Source organism: Homo sapiens, chromosome 2 (assembly GCF_000001405.40).
Source record: "Homo sapiens chromosome 2, GRCh38.p14 Primary Assembly".
NCBI classification, from domain to species: domain Eukaryota; kingdom Metazoa; phylum Chordata; class Mammalia; order Primates; family Hominidae; genus Homo; species Homo sapiens.
This window is the reverse complement of record NC_000002.12, coordinates 205401124-205417474: the sequence shown is the minus strand read 5'-3', so window position 1 is coordinate 205417474 and position 16351 is coordinate 205401124. Positions and strand designations below refer to the sequence as shown.

Here is a 16351-nt window from a genome sequence, read left to right as displayed (position 1 = left end):
AATACCATTTGACCCAGCCATCCCATTACTGGGCATATACCCAAAGGATTATAAATCATGCTGCTATAAAGACACATGTGCACGTATGTTTATTGCGGCACTATTCACAATAGCAAAGACTTGGAACCAACCCAAATGTCCATCAATGATATACTGGATTAAGAAAATGTGGCACATATACACCATAGAATATTATGCAGCCATAAGAAAGGGTGAGTTCATGTCCTTTACAGGGACATGGATGAAGCTGGAAACCATCATTCTGAGCAAACTATCACAAGGACAGAAAACCAAACACTACATGTTCTCACTTATAGGTGGGAATTGAACAGTAAGAACACATGGACACAGGGTGGGGAACATCACACACTGGGGCCTGCCGGGGGGTGGGGGGAGGGGGGAGGGATAGCATTAGGAGATACACCTAATGTAAATGACGAGTTAACGGGTGCAGCACACCAACACGGCACATGTATACATATGTAACAAACCTGCACGTTGTGCACATGTACCCTAGAACTTAAAGTAAAATAAAAAAGAAAAGAAAAGAAAAGAAAGGTTCAGTTGTTCCCTTAGCCTGAAGGCCTTGAAGGTCCAACAGAATATATTTTTAGATGTTTACCTGGGGTTGGAAGTGCAGTTTTGAGCTCCTTGTAAGAAGACCAAGAAATCTTATTTCTCCTTAAAAAAAAAATTAATCCTTGAGTCCTTAGCATCTATTACAGTACTTGCACTACAGTGGATACTTACATGATTTTTTTTAATGCATCAATCTTCCATAAAGGGGCATAGTTTATATGATATCAGCCTTATTATCATGTTGCCTTAACTCTTTGAGCCAGCCAGCTGTATTCTTTTCAGAAAATTAACAAATCTACTTTTGTGCATGCTGCTCACCTGCAGGCCAAGGGCTTAGCAGATTTTCAGGGATGAAGACATATGTGAGGAGGAATGGTGCCTTCCCCACAGGTGTTCCAGTCCCTTTACCCCCAACATTTTTCTTGATTGCTTTTCAACATCTCCCTGTTTCTCCAAGAACCTAATTCTCTTCACTGGTATCCTTTTATACACAGCATGAAAACAGGTAGTATGTAATCATTCATTTAACTAAAATAATACTTTTCCAATTCATTAAGGAATGGTTATCAGATGCTCATAAGAGGATGTAGCAGGGTATTACCAGACACTATTAAGCCTATATACATATTATCTATCTATGTAACTATATCACACACAAAGACACACACACATGCAGGCACACCCAGGGTCACAGCATTAAAGGTATTCTCACAAACAGGAATACTTTCAGACAGCTAAGTCTTCTTCATACCAGAAGCATGCCCTCAGGATGTCACAAAGTAATAAAATAAAGCCCCCTACTCCTCAGCTAGTCTATGCTTGAAACTGTTTCTCATATTCCTTCAAATGAAAAAAAATTCCTTTCCTGTGTCATCTGATTATAGGGCAATGTAAAAATGAATGTGTAAATAGAATCATAAACATGTCTACATAGTTGCATATGTTTTCAAATGCCCTAGAAAAGTTGTAAAAACATACTACATATTTCGGGTTTAATCTGTGATATTTGGAGATCTTCATCAAATTTCCTGTGTCAATTGGCATGATTTTAGTAAAATGTGTTTCTCCTCAGAGGCAAAATCTTTCAGTATATCTTTGAGAACTTAAATTCCCATGTTGGTTCACACATCATATTAGTTTATTATGTCACAATTAAAAAAAAATTTCTTTGAATTGAGGCACAGTCAAGCTTATGTGAGCAAGAGCAGTATGGACCAAGGTAATTGATATCTGTAGGTGGTTATTTCAAATTGATCAATGAGGATTGCACAACTAGCTTCAGTAGAGTGTGCTTATTCCTCTGAATATTTTTCATTCAATGGGATGAATTGGTCACTGATGATATTAGGCATCCATTTTTACCTTAAGTCGTATACACACTTGAGACATTGAATATTTTAGCATAATGTCAGTTTTCTTGGCATTGGATTTTTGTTTGCTGGTGAAATGAGTTATGTTTCCTCAAGAATTAAGTGCCCATTTCTTAACATTTTGTAAAATGTTCTGGTTTCACTTACTACCTTTCTCGGCAAGGCTTTACTTCTCTGTCCATCCTTTGAAATAATTGGTGAGGTAAATCTATAATTATTGGGAGCAGAATTGATTATCAAAAGTAGGAAAATTATTATGCCAAGTTTTTAAGTTGCCGTGTGAAAATATCCTATATAGAAACATATTCAATTTGGGTTTAATATTGTCAAAAGCAGTGAACTATAATATTGAAGCATTTTGTTAAAGCTATGATCTTGTTTTTCCAAAGTGGAATATTTAATGGTCATTGCAGATTTTTTCAATATGCATTCATTTATGTGACCATTACAAAATACTTCTCTAAAATTTAAAAGTCCAACTAGCAAATTATCCTCTTTTGACTTTCTTATTACATCCACTATAACCAGATTAAAAACATGTGAATCACACCATACATTATCTTGACTCTGTGTTTTTTTTTAAAACAAAGTCAACCCACTAAAATATCCTTTGATGCTCATTCAGCTAAAATTTTACTTTTTTTTAAAGGTGCATTATTTGATCTGAAAATATCTTTAAGTGCCTAGAATATATATATTTTTAGCACTTGAAACTTTCTTTGGCAATCACAGCCTCTATTAGAGACTGTGAAACATTTTAGGATTATTGAACAAATATCAATTATGTCTATGTCCTCAGTGTCAATCTAGATTGGAAATGTGCCATCTTTTACATCTTCACTAATAGAATTTTTAATTAGCTGTTGATGCTGTCAATAATAGAGTCCACTATTATTTCAAAAAATGATTAGTCTAAGCAATTCCTCATCTACTCATTTGTTCTTTACTTTAAAAAACTGGTACATACTATTATAATCAAGGTAATTTTTAAGGAGGCCACTATACTTTCAAAAATAAGCAAGAATGTTTGGCAAGATATTTTAATAGATAGTTATTCTTTTCCTACTGATTAATAAAATGTTGTCAGTTTTTGAAATTATCTAAGTAACTTACTCAAAATTTAATGCTGTTTTATACTTTTAAGTCAACCAGGACTTTACTGAATATCTTCTCTTTACTGAGATGTAAGAAAATGAAACAAGTTACAATCTATGCCTCAAGAGAATTAGGACTTAGACATGAAGAAAAGACATGTAATTGCAGGAGAATATAGATTAGAAATATTTTACAAGACAAAGGCTCTAATGTAATTATGATATGGACTCCTAATCACGGGCTTGGAGTTTAGTCCTATTGCCTCCTTGAAAGAGTAGCTTGATGGCATCTGATACATCACAAATGGCTGTTGCCATTTTTCATGATCTTCCATCTACATTAGTTTTTTATGCCTGCCCCCAAAATACAATCAGCACCATGAATTCTGACTGAATCAGCTCAAAATACAGCACAAAAATATCCTCATTTGACAAGAATAAGCCAAGGACAGTGTGTCTCATCCATACAACCAAATTCAATTTTCCCTAAAAAGGCGTATCTTCCATTTTAAAAGGTTAAAATAAATGGTACTTAAAACTAATTTCAACTGATTAAATTTAAGTCAATGAAAGGGGATGGGGACACAAGCCCAATTTGAAAACAACAACAAACAACAGCTCTCTGGGCCCACAGCATTTTCATTTCCCTGTGAAGTGGATGAAATTTCATTCACTTTAAGGCTGTGTCTCTCAGGATCTGGTTCAGCCACAGGGAAACAAGTGTTGATAGTCCTGATGGACTGGCCACTATGCTTCAATGATTCATTTCCACTGTCCTACTGCCAGTTACAAATAACCTCATATTTCTTGACACCATTTCATAGCCCAGGGAAAGTCTTATATCTCTAAACGCTATAGCTTTGTCTACCATTGATTTAGCCTATTCTGCTCTTAGTTCCATTGCAGCAATTATTCACTTGAAAAATAAAATTAAAATCAGTACGGTTTTATAGTTGTTCATTCATTCATCCATTATTCAGCAACTACTTATTGAGTGCCTATTCTGTGAAACATAATGTATTAGATCCTGAGAGAAACAGAAAAATGATTACAATATCATCCTCACCCCAAGGAAATGGTGAGGTAGTAAGGGAGAGAAGGCATGTTTGTAAATACAAACATCTACGATTCCATGCAGAAAAATAACAACAATAATAATGACAATGTGTATCTATTATGTGCCAAGCACAGTTCTAGGTACTTTAAGTATTTCATGTTATGTAAATTTTATAGGAACTCTGAAGGCTAGATATTTTTATCCTTTTTTTCTTCTTCAAATGATCAAGATCAGAAAGTTTTCTCAGAACATGCACCATCACACAGCTAGTACAGGGAACAGCTAGGCTTCAAACCCAACAGTTTGATACTCATGTTCATTCTCTTTCAAAGAAAGACGAAGAAAAATAGTAAGTTCACCATTTATTGGCTGTCTCTGTGCCTGGCACTATTCTGAATGCTTCACTTCAGAGTCTTATTTAATTCTCACAACATTCCTATGATGTTATATACCCATTTTGTAGGTAAAGAAACTGAAAATTACCACAATCAAGCAACTTGACCCAGGATAGGTAATGGAAGAATTCTCTTCCAACTTAGGTAGTTTGAGAAGGTATAATGGAGAAAGCGAGGTTTCATTGAATTTCCATTCATTCGGACCAACTCAGACAGAAGAGCATTCCAGACAGCAGAAATGGTACTAGAAATGGCACAGTGATTGGAAAGTGTTAATCTCAGAAAGTATGAACATTCCAGATTGGCTGAGTATAGGGGTCATATTGGTCAGGGGTGGAAATTATGATTAGAAAGGTTAAAGTCAGATGTGTTAGGACAAAGAGTTTGCACTGTATGCAGTAGGCAATAGAGAGCCACTGAAAGTTTGAGAGAGAGGAATGACTTTGATCAAAGCAATTATCACTGATTCATTCATCTCCAACCTGTCATAATTTAATAATCTCTGCTTCAAGAAATCATAACTTCAGAAATTATCTATGTAAGTTTCTCCAAGAACATGAATACTTATATCTTCCATCTAAACAGCCCATTGTTGTTACTGTTGTTTAATATGGTTGAGGGGGCTTTTCCACGACCTCTTGGAGAAGCAGGCTTCTGTGCCACTTCTGTGCACAGCCCAAACCACTTCAGCCTCTCTAACTCTCAATATGAGATGCTAACAAAGGACACAAACCAGAAAAAGGCAGGAGTTTGTGCCTGGGAAAGGGGTCAGATTCCTTGGGACAGCAATCTGAATTTCCTTCAGATGCACTGTAAGGTCATTAAGTAATTATACTCCAGGGCAAAGGCAGGTAGCTGGGAAAGAGTGGAATGGGAAGAAAAGGACATTTTCATCCCATTTCCTCCAAAGACTGGATTCCAAATATTAGCAGATCGGAGTTGCCACCCCCTTAATGTAATATATAGAATGGAAATGCAAATATGAGAATTTTGTGAATTTAATGACAGTGGTTACAAGTGTTTTCTGCAGTCACACGCCCTGTGGACTTGGAGAGGCTGGCAGTCACCCACACCATTTGTGTCCCTTCTCCCTGAATGTGTTTCCAGGGCTGCCAAGAACTGGCTGCAGCCAGCACCCCCCACACTACTGTGCTGCCATCTCATGCCAAGCTCACTATGCTTGAGGAGCAACTTCCAACCGGCGATCAATAAAAAATGAGGAGAAGCTTCTTGAATGGAAGTATCTGGCATGACTCCCAGCTGGGCAAAGTCTCCGCTCAACTTGGCCTCCTTCATCATAACAGGATCCAATTCAGCAACTTTCACAGATGGTGTGTCTCAGAGCATTCTAGGCTCCCAAAGGCTACTGTATGGGTTATCTGGGGTTTTAATTCCCAAAGCAGGTCAGAAAATAACAGTCAGCACCTAGACTGAACCAGTGCGTGCTTCGTAAATATTGCTTTTAATTTTCACAACAATCTGAAAGACAGGTTTCTCATTTAACACATGAGACTTGAAGCAGATAAGTTTGTTCATGCAGAGTCATCTTTAACCCACTCCTGGGCCTTGTAATCTTTCCATTTGGCCATGCATCTCTCTGGGGCCATCACCTACATTAGTTGGTCCCAAACATGGCTATAAATGACAATCACTTGAGAAATAATTTCAAAATACATATCCTTAGGTTCAACTACAGACTTACTAAAATATCTGTAGTATATTTCTATTATATCTATCTATCTATCTAAAATATGGTTTCTCAACCTTGGCACAAGTCATGTCATGAGTCAGATAATTCTTTGTTGCAGGGGGCTGTCCTATGCAGTATAGGACGCTGAGAAAGATGCTTGAGTTCTACCTACTAGATTCCAGTAGCACTTCCCCCATAGTATGGTAACTAAAAATGTTCTCAGACATTGTCAAATACCCACTGGGGTCAGAATCACCCAAAGTTGAGAACCACTGATGTAAAAAGCTGTCCAGGAAATGCAGAAAAAGCATATTCAAAGTTTGGAGTTTGTAAATCACAGGCCTAGGTTAGTATTTCTATGTGAAGGGTATGGGGCGGGTGGAGGCCGGGTGGTGACGGGGGAGAAGATTCCAGAAGACAATAGATTGAGCATCCTTTCAAATCATATAGAGTTTGCCAACCTATGTGAACATTAACTACACTTGGCCTGTCATGAAAGCTTCCCAAAGCAGGATATAACAAATGTTCAAATAAGGAAAGAAGATGAGAGACTTACAAATTCTTTTAAAATATTTGATTTACAGAAGTTTGATATATCCACAGTTTTCAGAGACCAGTTTCAGCAAATTAAGATTACTAGTATATTATCCAGCCCCAAACCGGCCTACAGAAAATATTCTGGGTTCACTAAACTTTTATTTACGCAAATTTTTTCTTCTAAAGATCTTAGAAGTTAAAAAGCATTTTATCCAAACAAAATGTAGGAAACTGGGGCCTTTAAGTATTATTATTACCATTTTATTTCATGGTACTAAAAATAGAAACTATAAGAATACATCCTCAAAAGTGGCTTATCCAATGCCACGAAAATGAATAATAAAACAGAAGCTCTCATTCCTAAATTCTAGTCACCAAACAGCCTTCTACCTACTTACAGTCCCCCAAAGCTTTCACAGAAAATGCTCTTCTCAAATTCTGCCACTGCTGTATTTAATCCCCATTAAAGTAAATTTATCTGTATAGGTTGAGCATCCCAAATCTGAAAATCCAAAATCTGAAACTTTTTGAGGGCTGACATGACACTCAAAGGAAATGCTCATTGGAACATTCCTGATTTTAGATTTTCAGATTTGGAATGCTCAACTGGTAAACATAATGCAAATATGCCAAAATAAAAGAAAAATCAAAGTCTGAAACACTTCTGGTTCCAAGCATTTTGGATAAGGGATATTCAACCTGTATCTCTGAGGTACAGCTCTGGTATCTCTGATTGGCATAAAATCCAGTGAATTACAAAAAAATTATGGATTACATTGAATATCTATTTCTGTATTTAATACGTTTATATTACAACCAAATATCCTGGATCAGCGAAATTTAAAATTTCTTTCCACATTTTTATCAGGTCAGATACTCTAAACAGTTCTGTGGAATCGTTCTAGGTAATTCAGTATAATTCCTTTTCAGAATGTATTCCAACAGCCCTGCAACTACATACGATAAAGTAATACATCACTCCAGGGTACATGAATTCTTTAAAAATATTTAAAATTATTTAAAACAATTTGTAGAGAGCTGGTGTACTTCATAGAAGTTTGCCTAAATGACTGTTGGAAAGCATGCCAGTCAAGTGATTCATTTTATGTATTAATCCAGCTCGGCTGACAAGCAGTTGCTAATACAGCACTTCTAACATTGATTCAAGTCCCATAAAAGGATTTTGGCTCATAAAAAATGCTGGCATGGCATTAGGATGTAGGTGTTTCCATCTCTGGTCTATAGAAATACAGTAATGTGCCAAGTTTTGTTGGTGACCGCAAGCATTTCTGAGAAGATAGGTGTTACAGAGATCAAATAAATGTAAAGATATTAAAGCTACCTTCACCCCGGGCTGTGTCTAAATCCCTAATTTCTCTAAATCAGAGGCAAATTTTGAAAAATGGCCCCCAAATAAAGAGTAGTGTGGGTGTATGGCTACTATGCCATTGTGTTTATGTTCTTTCTCTCTCTATATTTTTAATTCTCATTCTAGGAAAGATGGATATTTTTACCTTTACACGAGCATCAATAGTAATCACAGGGATACAGAAAGATCTCTTTTCATTCACTGAGTTGGTTAGTACTATGAAAAACAGAAATCTGATAGCTTCTTTCTGTCAGCATAAAAAGAGAACATGTCCTTGTCCTGAGAAACACCACCAAGTAAGATTTTTCATAACTTCCATGCAGTGATGATCTAATAAGGATCTAAAAGTAATTAACTGGATCTTTTTTAGCCAACCAAAGCCTTATTCAAATACACATTTTTACCAGCATTTTAAGGGAGCCATAAATTGGGGCATTTTGAAAAACTGGGATCTAATCCAGCCCATGATCTGATCAGGGTTCACTAGTAATAATAAATTGGGACTATTAAAACTGGGAATCATTCCAACATTTTACCCAAACCACAGGACCTAGAAAATTCTACTGCAAAAGATAGGGATATTCAGTGATGAGTAAAACCATGCTGAATTAATCATGTGTATGTAATCATGCCAAAACATGGGTGTTTTCAACAGTTTAAATAGTGCCAAAGTTATTAAGTTCAGTAAATAATTAATTATTGAGAATTGCTTGGCAAATTAAAGAAATCAACCTTCTGGTTTCTTTAATACATCCTTTTTTGAGTGTACAATAATGACAAAATACTATCAATTCACTTGTTGCTGTATATATTTAGGAGCGTTATATGTGTGTAGATTACAACCAAAATATTAATTCCAGAATGTAATACTTTCCTTTTCCTTCTTCGACTCTAATAAGCATCTTCATTTTTCAATATGAACAAATGTTGGATAAACTCTAGCCTTACTCTGGTTTTCATTTCAATTTCCAGTAACATAAAAATCCTCCATAATTAAATAAAATGCTGAGAGGTTGGGAATAGATTTTCACCCACTTGAATTCTCAAACTATAAATGGTTTCTGAATGTTTTTATATCTCTAAGATGCATTTCGTTTATGTGGGGAACTTGCAGCTGCATAATTAAATCTTGGTTTGCCAAATATCAAAAACACATGTATTGATTTAAACTAAAGGGAACAGGCCACAAGCAGCTCAGCTGATAAGGCAAGGGAGAAGTCTGCAGTTCTTGGAAGGCTTCCCAAAAGGAAAGAAAACTAAGAACCTTGAATTCAGACACTGAAACCGATTAACTTTCCTAAATCTTAGCTTCACTCTCACTTAGACATTCCGTTCAGGCTAGTTGTTGAAAACAAGAGCCATATGTTTTCATACTTTTCAATGCTGAAGCTGAAGAGGTTGGATCTTTTTTTTCTCCCATCTCCTCATGTATCCTGCTAAGATTCTAGTAAGATCTACGAAAGCAATGTTTAATTAATACAACAAATGAGCTTCCTGCAAAATAAACTCTGATATGGTATAAGAGTAATGGAAGATTTTGGAGTATATAACTCATGTTATTAAAATTTTTTTTTCAATTTTAGGAGAAAACTTCATTTACTGAAGTATTATTTCAGGGTCAGTAATATGGGACTTCAATGGAAGACAGTCTTTGGTGTCAGTGGAGATATTTTTCTCAGGATAGTAATACTAAATTAATGATGAGGAGGGGGACATATTTTTCTTTTAACCAATCTCCACTGGATTTTTGAGATGGTATTAAGAATACAGGTATTTAGTTTGGTATTTTACAGGTCCAAGATTCTGATTAATTTCATACTTTGTAAAAGGTTACAAACTTAGGTCTTAGAATTGAATAACAACAATATATACTTACTGACATATTAAGACAATCTCTTGCTTTCAGCTCAAGATGCTAATTTACATAATCTGAATGTGTGAAAAATGCTAATTTAATTTAGTTTGAAAAATGTTGGAAGAAATCATCTTTGAATATAACACTGGGTTCATATCTCTAGCAATGAATATGGGCCTTTGGAACTAATCTTTTATTATGGCTAATCTCACTGAAGCATGAACAAAATGATGAGTTTATTTAATGCAGGGCTTCATTGCAATAGACTGTTTGACTTGTAACAGGAGGTGACACATCATAAGCTGAGAAATCTCTTACTTGAGATTAAGAAAATCCTACCACACAATCTTGAGCAAGAAACTTGGGCTTATACACTCAGGTAACAATGGTGTATGCACTACCATAAACCAATGCCATGACAAGTTCAATAATTATTGCTCTAGAAAAGTAAAAGTAAATGCTTCCATACTTAAGATATTTAGATATTTCTCATACTGGAATATCTGAAAAGAACCCCAGAGATCATCTAAGGACAAAGTAGCATTTAAGGTACACTAGAAGGCCAGGTGCAGTGGCTTATGCCTGTAATCCCAGCACTTTGGGAGGCCAAGGCAGGTGGATCACAATTTCAAGAGACTGAGGCCATCCTGGCCAACATGATGAAACCCCATCTCTACTAAAAATACAAAAATTAGCTGGGCATGGTGGCGCGTGCCTGTAGTCCCAGCTACTCGGGAGGGTGAGGCAGAAGAATCGCTTGAACCTGGGAGGTGGAGGTTGCAGTGAGCCGAGATCATGCCACTGCACTCTAGCCTGGTGACAGAGTGAGACTCTGTCTTTAAAAAAAAAAAAAAAAAAAAAAAAAAAAAGATACACAAGAAGATTTTAGGTGCTATGTGGCTTAATGTACTTAATTAGATAAGCTAACTTACATGGCTATGATTTTTATAATATTTTATTTATTTGATTATGTATAAATATAATTAAGACAATAAAGGAAATAGATCAGTGACTGAAATTTATACAACTCTGATCTAGTCCAATATTTATGTGATGAACTAATGCTTTCTAAATGTAATCATTTCATTAGCTTCTTATTCAACAGTTTCAGTGTCAACAAACTCACTGCCTCATACTGCACCCTAATTTTAAGGACTTTTCCCTTCCATTAAGCTGAATACTACCTCTCTTAAAATAATGCTCCATTAGTATCTTCAAGAGACAAATACATAAATAAGAAAATAAATATTAAAGCAAATAATTTGTTTTCAAAAAAGTAAATAAATGAATGGATGAATAAGCAAATAAACTGATAAAGTAGAACGGAATAAAATGGATGCTACAAAACCGATCTAATCTCTATGTGACAGTTCTTCAAGCATGAGAAATCCACAAAGTCTTGATTCTGTAAGCTGTGTATTCTCAGGTCTTTCAACATTTTTAATAAGACTTGGATTTAGTACCCGCATGCTCTGTGTGAGAGAGAGGCACGGGATATTCCAGGTGTGATCTAAGCAGTGTAAAATTAGAATTATTGTTGCTTCCTTTATTTTGTACATGAACTTCCAGTAATGTAGCTTAGGACCAGATTAAGCTTTTGGCAGGCATATCCACATGTTGACTCATGCTAAACTTATGCTCAACTAAAACCATCAGGCAAATGTTTCATATATTTGTTATTAAATCAAACCTTCCACATCCTGTGTATGTGTAGTTCATTTTTGGACCTAAATGCAAGACTTTACATTTATTTCCATTAACTTTCTTTACGTTTAATTCAGTCCATTGTTCCTGCTGATTCTGTCATCGGACATATTGTCAACCCCTGAAGTTTTGTGGCAACCACAATCTGATCAACGGGTCACCATCACTAACGCCGATGCTCAGCAGGCCAAGGTTAAAAATAAATTTTAACGAAAAAAATTATTCTTGCAAGCTTAGATTGATGGGATATTCATCAGTAATGTTTGGGTACCATTCTCAAATAGCTAATAATCCTTCTAGGGTTATATCATCTGATCTAGATTTCTCTGCATTATCCACAGGAAATATGACACAATGCAATTCTGATGTCTAGGAGAGTACCTTGCTCTTTGTGAAGCCTGGAGATTATAAAAGGGTTTCTCAGACTCTGTACTATTGACATTTTGGGTTGGATGATTCATGTTGTGGGGGAGGGTAGCTGTCCTGTGCATTGTAAGATTTTTAGCTACATTTCTAGCCTCTATCCAGTAAAAGGCAGTAACTGCTCACCCCTCTTCCCGAGTTATGACAATCAAAAATATCTCCAGACATAGCCAAATGCCCTTGTGGTAAAACTGCCCCCTCCCATTGAGAACCACTGTTCTAGACTCTGCATTCCTCTAATCTAATCTAGTAACCCAACTCATCTTTTATGGCTTTTTGGACTTTTTCAGTACATGTAGCTATAGATAAACTATCCATATATAGCAGCAAAATGGTTTCGGATCAGGAATTAGATATGTAGATAACTTAAAATGAGATATGAAAATCAGCACAAAAAAATTAGATGAATGGGGAGAGAGAATATAAAATCCTAAAATTTAGAATTGAGGTTAGATCAATCCTAGGGTAAAATGATTACAAGGAAATTAAAACTTCAATAGGATTATATGATTTAGGAGGTAACTTATAAAGACATTTGTACCTGGATATTCATCCAAGTATTATTTGAAACAGTGAAAAATGGCAACAGTCTGGGCATGGTGGCTCCTGCCTGTAAACCCAGCACTTGGGAGGCTGAGGCAGGAGGATCACTTGAGCTCAGGAATTAGAGACCAGTCTGTACAACGTAGCGCGAGACCTTGTCTCCATTTTTTTTTTAAAGGAAAGAAAAAAGGGATAAAAATGGGAACAGACTAAATGTTTGACAATGGAAGGTAAATAGTTTATCGTATATTGATCTCATAGAATATTAGGCAGTGATCAACATGACATATTTTAAAACATTAATGACATGGGAAAAATGTTCAACATATAATGCTATGAAAAAAGCAAGATGTTATAGATGCAGGTTTTGGATATCAAGTGTTCAAAGAGAGTTGTCACTTGGTATCCATGGGGGATTAGTTCTAGGACACTCTGTGGATATCAAAATCTGTGAATGATCGACTCCCTGATATAAAATGGAGTAATATTTGCATATAACCTATGTATATCCTCTCATATACTTTAAATCATCTCTAGATTACTTATAATACCTATTACAGTGCCTACACATCACTTCATTTGCATAGCTTCAATGTAGTACTTGGCACAGCAAATTTAAATTTTACTTTTGGGAACTTTGTGAAATTTCTTTTCTAAATATTTTCAATCTGCGGTTGGTTGAATCCACAGATGTGGAAGACGTGGATATGGAGCCAACTGTATATGCATAAAAAAAAGATTATAAAATATTAGTAGTGGTTATGGGATTATGGTAGAGTTATGTATGGTTTTAATAGTTTTTATACTTTTTATGTTTCCAAAATTTTCTTAATGAACTGATATTGCTTTTGTAAGTTTTGTGTGCATGAGGGGTGCTGGGGGCAAGTGACCCATATTCCCTTAATTGAGTGAGCACTGGCTAGGGTTTCTAATTTGTTTACAAAAGATTGTACCAGTAAGAAAAGATATTTCGGAGAAGGTACATGAAGAACAAGGAAAATATTTGTAGACTGGGCCACTCAGTCCTTTTGAGAAAAAAATCCTGTGTATCATTTTTCACTAAATAAGAATAGTTTTATGTTATAGCCAAATTCTGCTCCTCCAAGTCAGTGGTTCTCAGACTTTAGAGACTGCTGACGAATCACCTTGGGCTTGTGTATGAAACACAGATTCCTGGGCTCCAACTCCCAAGGTTCTGATTCTGTAAGTCTGGTATGGGGCTCAGGAATCTTCATTTTTAACAAGGTCTTCTAATGATTCATTCTGATGTAGTTGGTCCCTGGACCACATTTTGAGAAACTCAGCTACAAGAAATCATGTGGTTGAATTTGGTTTTTTTTTTCCTGCCTCTTTGGATAATTGCCTCCTGGATATGCACTAAAGATAGCTGTCACAGACCTGTAGCAGTGTGCTGGTAAACTAGGTCTTCAGAGAAACTGTGCTATAAATATACTCACTATAGCCAATGTCGAACTGCCAATGGCTTATCAGCCAGCTTACAAAATTCTTGAAAGTTTAACAATTGGTTCCTATAAGCTGGTACAAGCTGGCTCCAGTACTTTATGGTATATATTTTATTTAGGTGCATTAAATATTTTGAAAATGAGATATGCTAATGTAAATCTATTATGATACCTATGACAGGATGAGACAAGTAAGCAACAGGATGGCTTGAATCACGTCAAAGAAACAAATTTCAAACATATTAGGAGAAAAGTATAATAGGTTTTATCACTATTTCTTACTCTATTCTATTTTTTTTCATTGCCATATCATGAAGAGTGATACACTCGCTGAGTTCTTTAAGAGTTGTGAATTGGTTTCCCATAGATGATGGAGAGCTAAGGATCAGGACTCCAGGGTTGGGAGCAATGCCAGATGTTCAGCCTCCACCTCCACCATCCGTGGCTCTCAGCCCCTGAGCTGTTGAAATGCCTTTGGTCATTAATTCTATAGCACCCAACCATAAAATCAACTCCTCAACTTCTTCCTCTAGCACATGATTGAGACAATGTTGTCTCTAGGAAACCCCTATCAGATGTGTTTTATGTGTTCATGTGTGGGAAGTGGCCTAAGTGGAGGCTAATAGTATAGTTCTTTCACTATTTTGACCAGACATATTTTAAGAAAATTGGATCCGAAGCCTATACAGCCAGCTGAAGTGAATTTACAGCTCAGCTTTTAAGAACAAGGCTCCCTCAGGCACCTGCCTACTAAAGGCAAAACCAGAAAGGAAATGAACCCTTGCTTAAAGACAACTCACCTTATTTTATGGGTTATCAATTTTCTAGCTGGCACACAGTTCCCCAGCTACTAAGAGTTTTTTTCCCCTGTCCCAAGTAAGTATGAGCTACAAAAAAATGTAAAGTCTGCATTCTAGAAAACAGCTCAGTTTCCTGAAGATGAGGCATGGGATGTAACCTCAGTAAGAGAAGTCAAGGGAGCAGCAAAGATCTATGATGTAGGCTCCCCACATAGATGCCTTTGCCAATATATGCATTAAAATCTCAGCCTGGATTACATTTTACATTACAGGATTGCTGAATCTTAGGTTATGACGGAGAATATCTTTCATGTCTTCAGGATAGCTCTGTCAGGTGAATAGTCAACAACAATGTAAAACACTTGATTTCCTTTTAACTGCTCCAGTGACCTTAGAACTCAGCTTATCAACCTCTCAAAAATGAGAAAGGACTAAATAGCTTTTTTTCCTTGCTATTGAAAAAGTCAGCCTTCTCAACGGGAACAGACTACAAAATAGGGGTCAAAGGCTAACAGTAGATACTCTTAGACTCCTCTGTGCTAGAAAACACAATGAATAGATATGATTTTCTTAGTACACATACTAAAGTAATAAAATCAATACAAGAATGGTCTCTTTAGAAACTATAAGAACTAATGTAACTAATAAGCAAGTGAAAAGTTGTGTAAATCTGAGTACATACACGATGAAGTCAGAATCAAACGCTTAGAATTATATGCTGGTTTTGTCATAATCTCAGTCTTTCTCCAAGCTCCATTTAGTTGTGAAGGCAAAGAATTTTCAGGAGAAATATGAACATTCAATTACATGTTTGAAAATCAGACATTTACACATCCACTTGCGATAAGTGCCAGAGTTAACATCAAAGATACGTGAAGGACCTCTTGTCCAAATGGAACATTAAGCTCCTCAAGCAGGAGAATTCAGCTCTTGCAAACCAGCATTATTCCAGCAAATGAAGCCGGCCCTTTAACAGATGGGCAACATACTCTTCAGCTTGCTGATAGCCTAATAAAAGACAGTGTCTTTTTAAAGAATGAAGGACATTCACTTCTCAAATTACAGGACCCAAACGGATTGCGCAGAATAAAATTAAGAAGGTATACAACAGCCTGACTAAAATTAGGAACAGACTATGGGAACTGGATAGTTCTAAACATCAATATCCAAATGACCTTTCTTTGGAAAAAAAAAGACATGGAGAAAATATGCATTTTTATGGTCAAAACAGGTGGTAGTGTGTTATGGAATTATAGGCACTGATATAGTAAAAACATGAAGCAAATTTCTTCTCAAAATAGAATAAAAATTTCCAGAAAGGGAGGTTCTTTTTGTATCAGACACCTTTCCTTTCAGATCGGTCAACCCCTATACTTCTTAAAATGAAATTTCTCCAGTTGACTGTTGCAATATCTAAATTAAACCCAGACCATAGAGTCAAAGAAAATGAAGGTCTCGGCACTTCTGCTCAC

The 16351-nt window shown here is 36.1% G+C and overlaps 1 protein-coding gene across 16 annotated transcripts in view; it reads right to left on the bottom strand.

Moving 5' to 3' along the window:
* PARD3B (par-3 family cell polarity regulator beta) overlaps positions 1-16351 on the bottom strand; it is a 1074688-nt gene that overhangs the window by 202688 nt on the left and 855649 nt on the right. The gene's annotated exons all lie outside the window — the stretch shown is intronic.